General features: G+C 39.9%; 1 protein-coding gene across 2 annotated transcripts in view, besides 1 other annotated feature; it reads left to right on the top strand.

Moving 5' to 3' along the window:
• AP1G1 (adaptor related protein complex 1 subunit gamma 1) overlaps positions 1 to 12,381 on the top strand; it is a 79,835-nt gene extending 67,454 nt beyond the window's left edge. For both annotated transcript variants that reach the window (NM_001128.6, NM_001030007.2), the window contains 4 exons: positions 2,040 to 2,147; positions 2,279 to 2,439; positions 6,674 to 6,772; positions 8,222 to 12,381. In NM_001128.6, the coding sequence (NP_001119.3) occupies positions 2,040 to 2,147; positions 2,279 to 2,439; positions 6,674 to 6,772; positions 8,222 to 8,323 (470 nt within the window). In that variant the 3' untranslated portion in view covers positions 8,324 to 12,381. The remainder of the gene's footprint in view (positions 1 to 2,039; positions 2,148 to 2,278; positions 2,440 to 6,673; positions 6,773 to 8,221) is intronic.
• Positions 13,255 to 13,324: a silencer, noted in NCBI's record as "silent region_7684". NCBI's record gives its function as "represses an Ori minimal core promoter by ATAC-STARR-seq in GM12878 lymphoblastoid cells {active_cell/tissue: GM12878}" and the evidence as "EXISTENCE:reporter gene assay evidence [ECO:0000049][PMID:35858748]".

Below are 15,007 nucleotides of genomic sequence, written 5' to 3'. Positions count from 1 at the left end.
AAACTCCTGACCTCAGGTGATCCACCCGCCTCGACCTCCCAAAGTGCTGGGATTACAGGCATGAGCCATCGCGCCCAGCCTGTCATTTACTTTTCTAGTATTCTTTAGTATCTTTTTTCCCCCTCATTCTTGCTGTCAATTTCTTAAAAAAAGATGATATTCTAGCCTTCCTTTATTTCATTGTGATAGTTCTTTTTTAAATGGCATATTTTCAGTTAATTTCACAAGTAGTTTGAAATCTATTTAAATATTAAATACATTCTCTTAATTTTACTGAATTTCCTTATGCTTCTTCTTCGAATCTTGATATCCCTCATGTTCTATGAATTATCTTCTATTGTATGATTGTCAAGTTGTTCTTATTTGGAAAGATTAAATAAGAATGGTAATCTATTTCTTTTTCCCACCCCACTTTATACCACCCCTCACAGGGTGCGTGTGTGTGTGTGAAAATTTTATTATACAGCATTTAACATCTACAAAATTTAATGAATGTTTTGATCTACCTAGTTTGTAAAATAAAATATTAAGAGGGTTGATGTTCTTTGTGTATTTCCCTCTCATCCCATTTCTTTTTGATTCCAGACGTAACTACTGTCTATCCTAAAGTAGTGTTTAACATTGGTGTTTGCCATTCCTGTGCATTTCTTGATATAGTATGTAGTATTATTTTGCCAATTTTTACCTTTTTAGACAAGGTATCCAACTGAATGTGTTCTTTTTTGCACCTTTTTTTGCTAAACATTGTAATTGTGAGAATGAGTTATGAATAATCCATGTTAAGTGTATTTCTAGTGAATTCACTTTTTACTGTTGTACATGTGTAGTATTTTAGTATATCAATATATCAGTTTACTTATTCATTATCAAGATGACAGACATTTTGGTTGTTTCCAGTATTTCACCATTAGGAGTGTTCCTGCTATGAATGCTTTTGGATGTATCTCCCAGTGAACACATGCAAGGATTAATTAAAAGCATTCCTAAGAAGGGGTAATCGGTTCTCAACTGGGGAAGATTTTGCCCTCCAGGGGTTGGCAGTGTCTGAAGATATTTTTGGTTGTTACAACTGGGAGGATGCTACCGTCTAATGCATAAAAGCCCAGGGGTGCTACTTAATATCCTACAATAAACAAGGCAGCCCCCTACAACAAAGAATTAGGAAGCCTAAAAGCTATTACTGTCAAGGTTGAGAAACCTCAGTTTAAGGATATACTGATGTTCAACTCTACTGTTGCCAAATTACTCTCTAGATTGGTTGTGCCAGTTTACCTTCCTATAGCAGAGCTTAAAATTTCCCATCGTTCCATCTTCTTGCCAACATCTGGAATTATCAGACATCGAAATTTTCACCATTCTGGTAGACATGAGGTAGTATCTCACTATAATTTTAAATTCCACTTCCATCATTACTGGTAAAATTGAGCATCTGTTTGTAAGATTCCCTTTTCATTCAGGTTTCCTCTTTTGTGACTTGCGTGTTTTTATATCTTGACACTTTTAAATTGGGTTATCTGTTTCTTATTGGTTTTATAGAAGACAGTTATCGTTTGGATACTTATCCATTCATTACTGTATAGCAAACATTTTCTCCTGTCTGTGGGCTCTCTCTCTTTACTTTTTTTTTTTTTTTTGCGACAGAGTCTCGCTCTGTCCCCCAGGCTGGAGTACAGTGGTGCAAGCTCACTGTAGCCTCAACTTTCCAGGCTCCAGTGATCCTCCCACTGCAGTCTCCCAAGTAGCTGGGACTACAGGCGCACACCACCATGCCTGGCTAATTTTTGTATTTTTTTTTGTAGAGACAGGGTCTCGCCATGTTGCTCAGACTGTACTTTTTCTTACAGTATTTTTTAATAAACAGAAGTTGCTCGTTTTAAAGTACTTGAGTTTTTAGTTCTTTCTCTTTGTGGTCTATGCTTTTTGCATCTTGTTTAAGGAATCTTTCCTTAACCTGAGACCGAAATAATTTTCCCTATAATTTCTTGGTAAGCTTTGTCATGCTGCCTAAGGTTAACTTTCCATTAAAATATTTCCTTTAGGTGCTCCAGCTGCTGCTCCTGCCCCTGCCTCAGTCCCACAGATATCCCAGCCCCCCTTCTTGTTGGATGGGCTTTCATCACAGCCTCTCTTCAATGATATTGCTGCAGGTACGATGACTGTTGTTACCATCATTACATGGAGCACTGAGTAATGAGATGTGGTTATTAAGAAAAAGAAGTAATAATTCTGCAAGCATTAGGCTGACTACAATAAGACTTATCTTCCTGTACTTTCTCAGGCATCCCCTCCATCACAGCATACAGTAAGAATGGCTTGAAGATAGAATTCACCTTTGAACGGTCAAATACCAACCCCAGTGTAACAGTGATAACGATACAGGCCTCCAACAGCACAGAGCTAGATATGACGGACTTTGTTTTCCAAGCTGCAGTACCAAAGGTACTACAATGTCTTCTTTAGATGTTTCCTTTGATTAAAGATTGGCTGGCTTTTTTTTTTCATGTGTTTGGTAAAGGATATGTTTTAATGTTTACAGATTAAATTTGTAGACTTAATTCAAACTAACAATAATGTAGCTTATGGTTCATGGAAGCATATCATTTTTAGTGAATAATTTTTACTAGGTTACAAGTATTCTGATGGTTAGCATTGTAGGATAAAGAAAAACAATTCTAATAGTAGTGAGAGCAGAATTCTACGAGGTGATCAGTTAATGCTCAGGGCATTGAGGATAGGTTAGGCTTTAGTAATACAGTGTTAAAGACCTAAAAACATAAAATATGGCATAGGATTAAAGTTAAGTAAGATGAGAGACTTTGTCTATCTGGTATTATCTTCTAGTTAACCAGATCAGAATTGAAATTTTTTCTCTCTTGATACATAAATGAGAGAAACATTCCTCCTTCGTTAACATCCAATTTATTATAGATACAGTAACTGTTTTTGTGAATCAAGGTTTGGTTTACACCAAATTTTAGTTTAAGGATATTTATGTTCATTTATGAATAGTGAAAAATCTTGAGGCCGGGTGCAGTGGCTCACGGCTGTAATCCCAGTACTTTGGGAGGCTGAGGCAGGCAGATCACTTGAGATCAGGAGTTCGAGAACCTGGCCAACATGGTGAAACTCCCGTCTCTACTAAAAGTACAAAAAAAAAAAAAAATTAGCCGGGCGTGATGGCAGGTTCCTCTAATCCCAGTTACTCGGGAGGCTGATGAGGCAGGAGAATTGCTTGAACCCAGGAGGCTGAGGATGCAGTGAGCTCAGATTATGCCACTGCACTCCAGCCTGGGTGACAGAGCGAGACTCCATCTCAAAACAAACAAACAAAGAGTTCTAAATAAAGAAAAGTTGAGAATGAGGAGTGGGTAGTTTTTCTTAAAAAGATGAGACAGTAAGTATTTTAGGCTGCTATCTGGTCTTTATTGGTACTCAGTTCTGCTCTTATAGTACAGAAACAGCTGTAGATGACATGTAAATGAATGAACATAGTTCTGTTCCAATAAAATGTTATTTGCAAAATCAGATGTTGGGCGATTCTTGGCCAGTGGGCCATAGTTTGCCAACCACTGGTTTAGACTAAGCTAACCTAATCTTGGCAGTGGCATGTGAAATATGGCATTTAGACATTCCGACAACACACTTGGACTTGGAAATTGAGGATGTTTTCTTTGTTTGTGGGTACTGCTGACTTTGCAGTCTTTTTTTATTTTTTCCCCATCCTCTGACTCTCATGCAACCCTCTTTGCTTACACTTTGTAGGAGCCAGAATAATTTAGATGTTTAAGAAGCAGTTAGCTGGACACGGTATCTCACGCCTGTAATCCCAGCAATTTGGGAGGCTGAGGCGGGTGGATCGCTTGAGCTCAGGAGTTTGAGACCAGCCTCAGCAACATGGTGAAACACCATCTTTACCAAAAATACAAAAAATTAGCCAGGTGCAATGGTGCGTGCCTGTGGTCCCAGCTACTCAGGAGGCTGAGGTGGGAGACTCACTTGAACCCAGGAGGTGGAAGTTGCAGTTAGCCAAGATCATGCCACTGCACTTTAGCCTGGGTGATAGAGTGAGACGCTGTCCAAAAAAAAGAAGAAAAAAAAGGGGAGCAGTAGTGTCAATTGGTGAAAGACCACTAATGAACTCTAGAGCCATTCTGTTTGGATTTTAGTAGTAGTTGTATGACATGAAGAAAGTCACTGAACCTCTATGCCTCAGTGTCTTCATTTGCAAAGAGGGTGGTGATAATGATAGCCACTTCCTAAGGTTGCTTAAAGGAATAAATAAGTTTTTTGAATCAGGCACTGTTTGAAGCACTTTTCATCTGTTCAGTGCTCAGTATATTTAGTTTCTTCAACTTAGGTTTTATACTTGTTACTTTAGGCTGCTGCTCTAGTGACTTATCACTTCTGCTATTAAAACATGACATTTTTGGTGGTGTACTGTACAGTGCAACATGATAATGTATTTTCAACTTAAAATGTCATATTTTGCTGGGCGCGGTGGCTCACGCCTGTAATCCCAGCACTTTGGGAGGCCGAGGCAGGCGGATCCCACGAGGTCAGGAGATTGAGACCATCCTGGCTAACACGGTGAAACCCCGTCTCTACTAAAAAAAAAAAAAAAAAAAAAATTAGCCGGGCGTGGTGGCGGGCGCCTGTAGTGTCAGCTACTTGGGAGGCTGAGGCGGGAGAATGGCGTGAGCCCGGGAGGTGGAGCTTGCAGTGAGCCGAGATCACCCCACTGGACTCCAGCCTGGGCAACAGAGCGAGACTCGTCTCAAAAAATAAATAAATAAATAAATAAATAAATAAATAAATAAATAAATAAATAATAAATTAGCCGGGCGTGGTGGCGGGCGCCTGTAGTCCCAGCTACTCAGGAGGCTGAGGCAGGAGAATGGCATGAACCTGGGAGATGGAGCTTGCAGTGAGCCGAGATCGCACCACTGCACTCCAGCCTGGGCGACAGAGCGAGACTCCATCTAAAAAAAAAAAAAAAGTCATATTTTATAGGTTCTACTATGTACTAATTTCGTGTTTTAATGTTTCTAAAATTAGGATACATTTAAAAATTGGTATCTTGTCATAATTCAGTGGGCAGCATGTTTTCTATCTCAGTGGTACATAAAATAATGGTGTGAATTACGATTGGTATCTTACATTTAATGAAATATGGTAGTAATGAATAATACTTTAGCTTACATAATTTTAATGTGGCAGAATTATGAATAAGACCATATATATATATATATATATATATATATATTTTTTTTTTTTTTTTTTTTGAGATGGAGTCTCACTCTGTCACCCAGGCAACCTCTGCCTCCTGGGTTCAAGCAAATCTCTTGCCTCAGCCTCCTGAGTAGCTGGGATTACAGGCATGCGCCACCATACCCAGCTAATTTTTGTATTTTTAGTAGAGATGGGGTTTTGCCATGTTGACCAGACTAATCTAGATCTCCTGACCTCAGGTGATCTGCCCGCCTTGGCCTCCCAAAGTGCTGGGAATACCGTGCCCAGCCCCCAGTGTAATATATCTGTACATTGAGAGTGAATCTTCACTCTTGCAACTTTTGGCCCTAGAGAAGACTAGTGTCTCTCTCTCTCAAATATTTTAGAAGTTTAATCTACTTTTAGGAAAGATTTTCAAATGCTAGTTCATACAATAGCTACGTAGTACAGTATGGTTTACCTAGCTTGCCCTATATAGCACTTTTTTTTTTTTTTTGAGACGGAGTCTTGCTCTGTTGCCCAGGCTGGAGTGCAGTGGCACAGTCTCGGCTCACCACAACCTCCTGGGTTCAAGCGATTCTCCTGCCTCAGCCTCCCGAGTAGCTGGGACTACAGGCATGTGCCACCATGCCCAGCTAATTTTTGTATTTTTAGTAGAGACGGGGTTTCACTGTGTTGGCCAGGCTGGTCTCGAACTCCTGACCTCGTGATCCGCTCGCCTTGACCTCCCAAAGTGCTGGGATTACAGGCTTGAGCCACCACACCCAGCCAGCACTTTCAACTCTTATTTCTATAAGCAAGCAAATAAACCCCACCAGCATTCAACAAATTAATACTGTTTGGCTTATCTAGGTCTTTTGCTGTATAGGCTGGTTCTGCAAGTCTTTCCGTTCCTTCTGTCATGTGGAGAGGAGGCTCTGACACATTATAGATTATGCAGGCTTTAAAAAACAAAAGTTCAAGTCTCTGCATCCCAGTTATCCAATCACACAAAAGCCTAAAAGCTTATAGTTGGTGACCAGTATGTTGGTTTGCTATTTTTGGGAAGCTTTTCTTTTCATTTCTTTCTGGCTGTTTTTTAAGCCAAAAGCACCGATATTTTACTTGCATAGTTGATCAGTTACCATTAAGTGAAGTTGCCAGAAGAAGAATTGGTCAGCTTTTGAAAAGAGGTAGGCTAGAATTCCTTCTGCCAGAAAGGAGAATGTGGTTTATTACTAGTTGTCATGATCAAAGAACCGAACAGTGGATTTTTACAAATACCACAGGGAGTCAACTCACGTGCTGTGAATTCCTGATATCTAGAAAACAAGTAGTAGGCAAAACTTAGTAGTAGTGAAATCTGTTGCTTGACCCATCATCTGGGTGTCTAAATGGTTTTTGGTATCTCTGACCTAGCGTTGTGTAATTCTTTTTCTGAAGAGTGCCCTTTGTTCCCCCCTAGACATTCCAGCTGCAGCTCTTGTCTCCTAGCAGCAGCATTGTCCCAGCATTTAACACGGGGACCATCACACAAGTCATTAAAGTTCTGAACCCTCAGAAGGTGAGTAGCACATTTGTAGCCAATATCTGAGCCGAAGTGTAAGCATATTTCCCGAAATAAAATTCTGCTTTGTTTCTTTAGGTTTTTCTGACTCATAGTTAGAGAAGAGATCAATGAAAATGCCTGGTCTAACTTCCTTGCTCTTTTGTAAATAACAAATGGAACCCAGAGACATCAGGTGGCTTAGTGGCATCTTATTAAAATGCAACTTCAAAAAAAGCTAGATTAAAGGTCTGGTTTTTGGGGGTAGGGGAGAAGCTTAGACATTTTAATTTATACACAAGTTGAAATCTGAGGTAAGAGCATTTGTTGAAACCAAATACCTACATTTACTGCTACAGTTATTAAGTATGAATAGAAAAATAGAGGCATTTTAAATGAAGCAGCCAAATGAAAAATAGCTTTAGAAACTGAAATTAAGCAATATTTTTATTATCTCTTCTCAAAGAAATAAGCTCACCTTAATAGTAATCAGTTGGTTTTCAGTTTTTGAAAATGGTTCAGAGAATTTCTTTAATAGAGCTCTACTAGTTGCTCATAAGTAACAGTATACTTTCTTTCTCTTGTAACACTTGCCTTTCCTCTGCTATTCACTATATTTTGAGCATCGGCCTCTATAGTACAAGCACAAACTCCTTTGACCATCTGATACAGAGAGTAAAAAATGTCTTAGTGCATTTGTATTTGAAATCTGCCATACAAAAAGTGTCTAATTGAGTTCTCTTAAAACTACTGCTGTTACCTGTGAGTTAAGTCATTTTTTAAAATTTTATGCTTTAGGAACAAAAGGTCATGTTCACATTTACTGTAGGTTTTTCAGATAAAGCAACAGTGTATCTGAATGGAGAGCGTACGATGAGTATATGTTCACCTCATTTTTTAAGAGACTTGGATACAAGGTTTGAATCTTTTTGAAAAGGACTCAGCAAAATGTTACTAGGAGAATGCTCCATGGTGGCTCACGCCTGTAATGCCAGCATTTTAGGAGGCTGAGGTGGGTGTATTATCTGAGGTCAGGAGTTGAAGACCAGCCTGGCCAACATGGTGAAACCCCGTCTCTACTAAAAATAAAAATATTAGTCTGGTGTGGCGGTGAGCCAAGATTGTGCCACTGCACTCCAGCCTGGGCAATAAGAACAAAACCCTGTTTCAAAAGAAAAGAAAAGAAAAAATGCTCCCAAGGAGTTCTGTCCTTTTAATGCAGTTCAAGGATTAAAGCTAACCGTGTATTCTGCAGATGCGCTTTCTCAACTTGGTGGCATGACATTGTTAGCTTCTTGGCTCAAGCCTAGAGTACTGGGTGTTTTTTGTTGTTGTTTACCTGTCATTCTTAACAGACAGCTTTGCTTTAAGTTTTGACCTCTAAGATTAAAAGTCTATTTGTGGACCGGACAGATTCTGGAGATTTCATTTCAGTATATAATTTGCACTTCTCTTTTCCTCTTATAGCAACAGCTGCGAATGCGGATCAAGCTTACATATAATCACAAGGGCTCAGCAATGCAAGATCTAGCAGAGGTGAACAACTTTCCCCCTCAGTCCTGGCAATGAGGGTTTGGCACCATTCTCATTCTTTATCCCACTCAATCAAAGGAACTCTGGGAAGGAGGTTGTGATTGCTGGCAAGTCCCCCCCAACTGTACCACGGGCATGAGGAGCTGAAGAGAACTGCTGAGGAGGATTTTCCTAAAGTTACTGCTGACCTTGAAGCATTGTTAAAGACTAATGTCCTCTCCTCCACTGTTGAGGCTGGCTGCTTCTGGAGGCTACTTTGCACTCTTCCTCTTCTCCTTTTTCCGCACTTCTCCACCCCTCCCACATTTACAGCCAGAATCAACATTCCCTGGGCCCCTGAGGAAATAAGCAGCTGGTCTGGAGGAGAGGACTGCAATCCATGGCGAAAAAACACTCACTTTGTCTCTGCAGCAAAGAGTTGCCCCTTCTTTCTACTGTTGTTTCTCTGTGGACTGGGCAAGGTGGGGTATTTATTCCTCACTAGCTGGGTTACCATCTTCAGGCACTTTTAACATCTGGCATTCGGAATGGAAATGTAATAATGGACATTAGGGAGCCCTGCCTTTTTCTACTGGTTCCCCCAATGTTTGAAAGAGGCATTAGGCTCCTGGTAGCCTTTTCTGTGCATTGCTGTATACACACAGACACACACATGTATGTTTGTTACCAAGAACTGGTCAGACCTTGCGAGTTTATTTGTAAACACTGGACAGATGGAGTTAAAAAGAGCTTTTGTTGAGATTTGGCATGAAGGATATGGTGCTCTATTTGTAATAGAAACTTCCAAGGCTCTTCCAGCTCCCCTTTCTCGCCATTCTTTAGCTGTAGTCATGAATAGTCTCCATGATTTTCAAAATTGATTCCCTTTAAAGTGCAAAATGGTCACCTTCTAAAAGATATATTCATAGTTATTAATGACCCTATTCCCACCACAAATTTTAAAGTGCTCCTAAGCCCATAACTTGCCTGTTTGAACTATGGTAATGGGTGGAAGAGGAGTTCACCAGTTTCAAAGATCAGACTCTGTATCAAAAGTACCTTTGCCCTTAGGAAGAGTGAGTATTGGAGTCATCTTATCTATTACTCCAAACCTCCCTTTTTATTTCTTGAGCCTGGCTTGGACCTTGGCATTCCGTTTGAATTCCTTCTAACTGGAACATTTGTGTTGTATCTGTAACACTGGCACTGAAATAAAGACCACACGGTTAAAGAAATCTTTCCATATTGTACTTTATGGTGTTGGAGTGAAGCCTTGTAGCTTCCATACCCCTATGTCAGAGGAGGTCTTACGGACACCATAGGGTAGGAATAGCCTTTCCTCAGTCTGAGAAATTGGTCTCTTTTAAAAGACGAATCTCATGAATATTCACATCAAAGACTTGAGCTTTTTAAACTAGTGAGAGTGCCAAGTGCTTTTTAGAAAGGACCCATATGTTATCAAACTTTGAAATTGAGTTGCTGGAATGAAGTAGAGGTGACTCTCTCTGTGGTACACATTGAATGTACTATGTATGTTCAAGTATTCAGGCGCCATGTCTTATATACTGAAGAAAGAAAAAGTGAGGCCCACCTTGCTCTTACAATGTTTGCAATTGTTACTGTATTGAATACAGTATAATGACTACTATGGCTTCAATCTTAAACCTGGAAACAAATATCCCTTTTTTTCCCCTTCATTTCACCAAGCCTTTACTTAAAATCTTCAGTGTCTTGTCAAATCTAGCTCTGTATCAGATGCTGGAATATTCCTAACATTTGACAAACTGGAGTTGAACTAAAGGCTCCACGGGAAAGTTTCTGGTCTTACTAGTGTGTATGAGCAAGATCTGCTAAAACTTACTCCACTGGGTAAATGGTTGACTGAGTCAAGAACAGGATAATATCTCCTGCATAGTTTTCAGTAATGTAAGTGTGGACTAGTGCATATTTCAGACAACTGCTCTGCCTGTGCAATGAAAAATAGCCTTTAAGGGTTTCTTTGCAGACTGATTTCATTGGATGGATACTTAATGCTGTGAAACATGATAGGATTAACATAATGTTGGTGGATTTCTTGAATAGAATTTGTCTTAACATTCCTCTTTGTGTAGAGGCTTTATTTTCTCTCTTATATTTGTAGCTAACCAGCTCAGGTTTTTTTATTTGAACTGGGTTGAATCTCTGAAGAAATCTGTTCAAGACCATGCTATAAGACACTGTCAGCTAATGGAGCTGGGAAGGGTCTACTCTGCTGACAGAGCATTTCCTTGGGTGATCATAGTTTCGAGGTAGAGTTTATGATCATTCATAGCTTTGTCTAGAAGGAGTAAAATATCATGGCCTTAACACAAAGGGTGCTGCGTAGAATATGAATTGATTTTGGAATCAGAACACAAGCACCATACTGAAGGACTAGCAGCCAAATAACTGCCTAGGATACTGATGGTTGTGAAGACTGTTTCAAATGATTGGATCTTTGAAAGCTTCAGCGTGCCTTAGTTTCTAGGATCAGAATTAGTTTTCCTCTCACTTGGCCTTGCAGCTAAATGGAGAAATGTTTCAATTTCTTTGAATACTTGCACATTTCAATAATTCCTTTCCCGAGTATAACCACTCAAGGGGGAGCAAATTTGGATGGATTTACGACTTCACAGGCATTGTGAGGAAAGAGCATTTTCCAAGGCTGTTTTGATAACCCTGGGGTGATAAGCAGTGAGCCCTCACACACTTACTTTGACAATTTCACATGCACTTGTACTTCATTATTTCCCTCTTCAAGAGTCGTTTCTATTCTAGTTTCTGCCCCATCCCGGGGAATCCTAAAGGAGAATTAATTCATCTAAGTAATCTCAAAAAACTGTAGGAAGGGTGCTCTCCCTGAGAAGCTTCTCCCACAGTGCTTTGGTGCTGTTACCTTGAGGTGGTTTGGACAGTCACGGAAGTTTTAGGCTGTGCATAGTGATCATCTGTTAATTTTAAGGTCTTTATCATTTAAAGAAACATTCCTCAGTGTAACATTTGGGAGGGGATTCTTTCCTCTTGCTAGTTTAAAGGTGTGATTTGTACTCCTTGTTTGTCCCATTCATATATGAAAATAGACTTTTAAAACTGTCCAACACTAATGGTTTATATAACATGCTTCCCATTTTTTTTATGTCGTAGAAATTGGAAGTTAGGGAGTACTGCTTTCAAGGTTCAACTTCATTATCTTCTGCATTGGAAAATATTTGGGCCATGAGAACTAGGGGAAAGGAGTTTGAATGTGTCTATTTTTTTCTAGTGAATGTATTTTAACCACAGTGTCCTAAACTGAGAAAACTAGAGAGGAAAAAGTGGGTGTTCATGAACTTTGTAGTTGGGAGAGTGGTTTTACATGTCTGTGTATTCATGACTTTGGGAGTGGGTAGGATCATTGGAGAGAGAATTGCACAGAAAGTCCTGAAGTTTAAAACACTTTTGACCAGCTTTGGCTCGGGAGAGTGGGGCTGCTTGTAGAACTGGAAGTGAATAACTTTTTCAAGCAATATCAGTGAGTGGGTCCCATCGACAGGGTTCCAGGACCTGGAACACTTTAACAGAAGGAAATGCCGAAGCAGCTTGCACAGTTGCTTTACAGACTTCCAAGAGGCTGATTCTGGCTTCAAGATGGAGCCTTGGAGTTGGTTTTTTTTTTTTTTTTTTTCTTCCCTCAAAGAACCTGCGGTTGCGCTTTGTGTGTTTTGTTTTTGTTTTCCATTTGGGGGCCCCATGGGAAAGAGCTTCTGAACTCTTTCCTTTATGAACTCCCACTGTGTTCCTATAAAGGCCCTTTTCTTTCTTAGTGTTGTAAGTTACATTTTCATTATGCCCCATCACATCTTCTTTACTGTAAAAATATTAAAAAGCTGTTTCCAAGTGGGACAGCTAATGAAGCTCTAATTATTGCAGACATATTTTTGAGATGTAAAAAAAAAAATTTAAAGTTAAATGATAAGTCTTAGAGGCGAGTGAGGAATAAAATGGATGTAAACATTTACATGGGATGCATTAGAATTCTGCTGTGTGTACTGTCTTTTGGTTGAAACAAATTATGAACAGTGACTAATAATAAAAAGTCAATACCCAATGATTTAAAATTTGCTTCCTTGCTTCTTACAATTGGATTAGAAGACTTAGATGAATTCTTATTCCAGAGGTTGAGCTAACTTACTGACCTGTTAGTATTCCTTTCACACATAAGTCTCACCAAGAGAGGAATTTGAATCACTTAAAAACTTGTAGCCAGGCGCGGTGGCTCACGCCTGTAATCCCAGCACTTTGGGAGGCCGAGGTGGGCGGATCACCTGAGGTTGGGAGTTAGAGACCAGCCTGACCAACATGGAGAATCCCTGTCTCTACTAAAAATACAAAATCAGCCACGTGTGGTGGCGCATGCCTGTAATCCCAGCTACTCGGGAGGCTGAGGCAGGAGAATTGCTTGACCACAGGAAGCGGAGGTTACAGTGAGCCGAGATCACGCCATTGCACTCCAGCCTGGGGTGACAAGAGTGAAACTTCATCTCAAAAACAACAACAACAACAAACTTGTGTTATAGACAGTAAAAAAGTCCTAAGTGCAATTGGACATTTTAACTATAATATGATTAATTTCATGCTTAATCTCCATAGGTCAATTCTCAAGGCAGAGAAACCAAGATGAAATGTATATTAAGGGTGGTTATGGGTTTTCTTTATAAGCTGCTTTTTGTGAATTTTTCAAGTGTATCTGTGACTGGGCAGAGGAAGGCTTGACCAGTCAAAATGAGTTATATTTCATGGTCTATTTTATATGAACTGTGTATTTTGTATATATTAACTTTTGTAGGGATGTGGTCTTGCTATGTTGCCTAGGCTGGTCTTGAACTCTTGGCCTCAAGCAATCCTCTTGCCTCAACTTCCCAAAGTGCGGGGATTACAGGCGTAAGCCACCGCACCTGGCTTGTCTTTTTTTAAGACAGAGTCTCGCTGTGTCACCCAGCTGGAGTGCAGTGGTGCGGTCACTGATCACTTCAGCTTTGACTGCCCTGGTTCAGGCAGTCCTCCCACCTCAGCCGTTCTAGTAGCTGGGACTACTGGCATGCACCACCATGCCTGGCTAATTTTTGTATTTTTTTTTTTCCTTTGGTAGAGACAGGGTCTCACTATGTTGCCCAAGCTAGTCTCAAACTCCTGGGCTCAAGTGATCCACTAGCCTCTGCCTCCCAAAGTTCTGGGATTACAGGCGTGAGTCACTGTGCCTGGCTGTCAACTCTGTGTTTTGGAGGTTGGTAGCTTTAGGTTTTCTGTTATTCTGATGATCCCTGACAGTCCCTTGATTGAGAAAGGGGAGAGTGTGATAGTCCCGATTGAAAAGGGGAAGGGTGTAGGCCCTGGCAGTTATCTAGTTTATGCAGAAGTGCCCTTTGGTACTGTTTGATAAGCAACATTTCTATAATCTTATGTATGAGTTAGTTAAAATTCATAGTTGTTTCTAATATTAAATTTAGTTGGCACCTTCATGTAATTAGAGGAAAATAGAAAAGTTTAGCCAGTAATAGACATTTAACAATACAACAAATAGTATTCAGATCTGAATTTCAATTCAGAAGCACCAAATTAATTTTTATCACTTTTAAGGGTTTTCTATCCTATGTCTTCAATTGTCAATTCAATTGTCCCCATATTTGAAAAATATCAAAATGTTCACAGAAAAATTCTCCAAACTTTGAAGCTAGGTAAACACTGCCTGTTTATTTGGAACCAAAATTAGGAATATCCAAATCTGCTTAACCTATTGGTAGAATAACAAGGGATTTAGGCCCAAAGATGACTTTGTGGATCACTGGAGTGCGTACTAGATATAAATAAGTAAATATAAGTCTCATCTGCTTCCTCTCCCAACATCTGATAGGCATGAGCTTCCCTTCTCCAGACTTCCCATTTTGTAGTGAAGATCTGGAAAAGCTCCTGGCATAAAGAAGGTGTGTGCGTGTGTACATACCAGAGAGGGGAAGCACAGCTGCTACAGGAAGGAGACAGAAAGGAGAGATCATGATGACTTCTCTGTCTCTTGGTTTGAGCTAAACAGTGATTTTTGTAATGATGAACCTGCAGTGAGGGCAGATGGATTTTCGCACAAAAAAAATCCCAGAGGAATTTATTTTTAGGGTTAGTCTCAGCTGTTTACCATTTCCAGAAATTGTAGTTACATAACCCTTGGCATACATAATGCACAGTGCCTTGAACTGGGGGAGAACATCAATATGTGACCTTTGAAACAAAGTATAAAATGTTAATGGCACTACATGATTTGAAAAAAATCAACTGGTTGTCACTACTGAATTGGATCTTAAATCATGGGAACCATTAAAGGTAGTTACATCATAAATTAGCCCCTGAAACTTTTGGGCGGATGGGTTTTTTTTTTTATGTTTTCCCTTTTGAAAGAGGAACTACTGTTGCCAGAATGAAGAAGTAAATAGCAATGCTTATGCCTACTATCCCTTTAATTAAACAATTATTCACCACTGCTGTTCCCCAGCATGAGCTGAAACTTTAGTTCTGCAACAAGATCTTTCCTTTTTGTGTAGTCAGTCAATAAAGAGCTTCTACTCATGAAATCTGGAAAAGGTAATGTATAATGCCTCAAGAAACAGACTCTTACAGCCAGGTGTGGTGGCTCACACCTGTAATCCCAGCATTTTGGGAGGCTGAAGTGGGCGGATGGCTTGAGCTCAGGAGTTC

Source organism: Homo sapiens, chromosome 16 (genome assembly GCF_000001405.40).
Source record: "Homo sapiens chromosome 16, GRCh38.p14 Primary Assembly".
Classification (NCBI taxonomy): Eukaryota; Metazoa; Chordata; class Mammalia; order Primates; family Hominidae; genus Homo; species Homo sapiens.
Note: the sequence above shows the minus strand (reverse complement) of the source record. Positions and strands in the feature narration are given on the sequence as shown.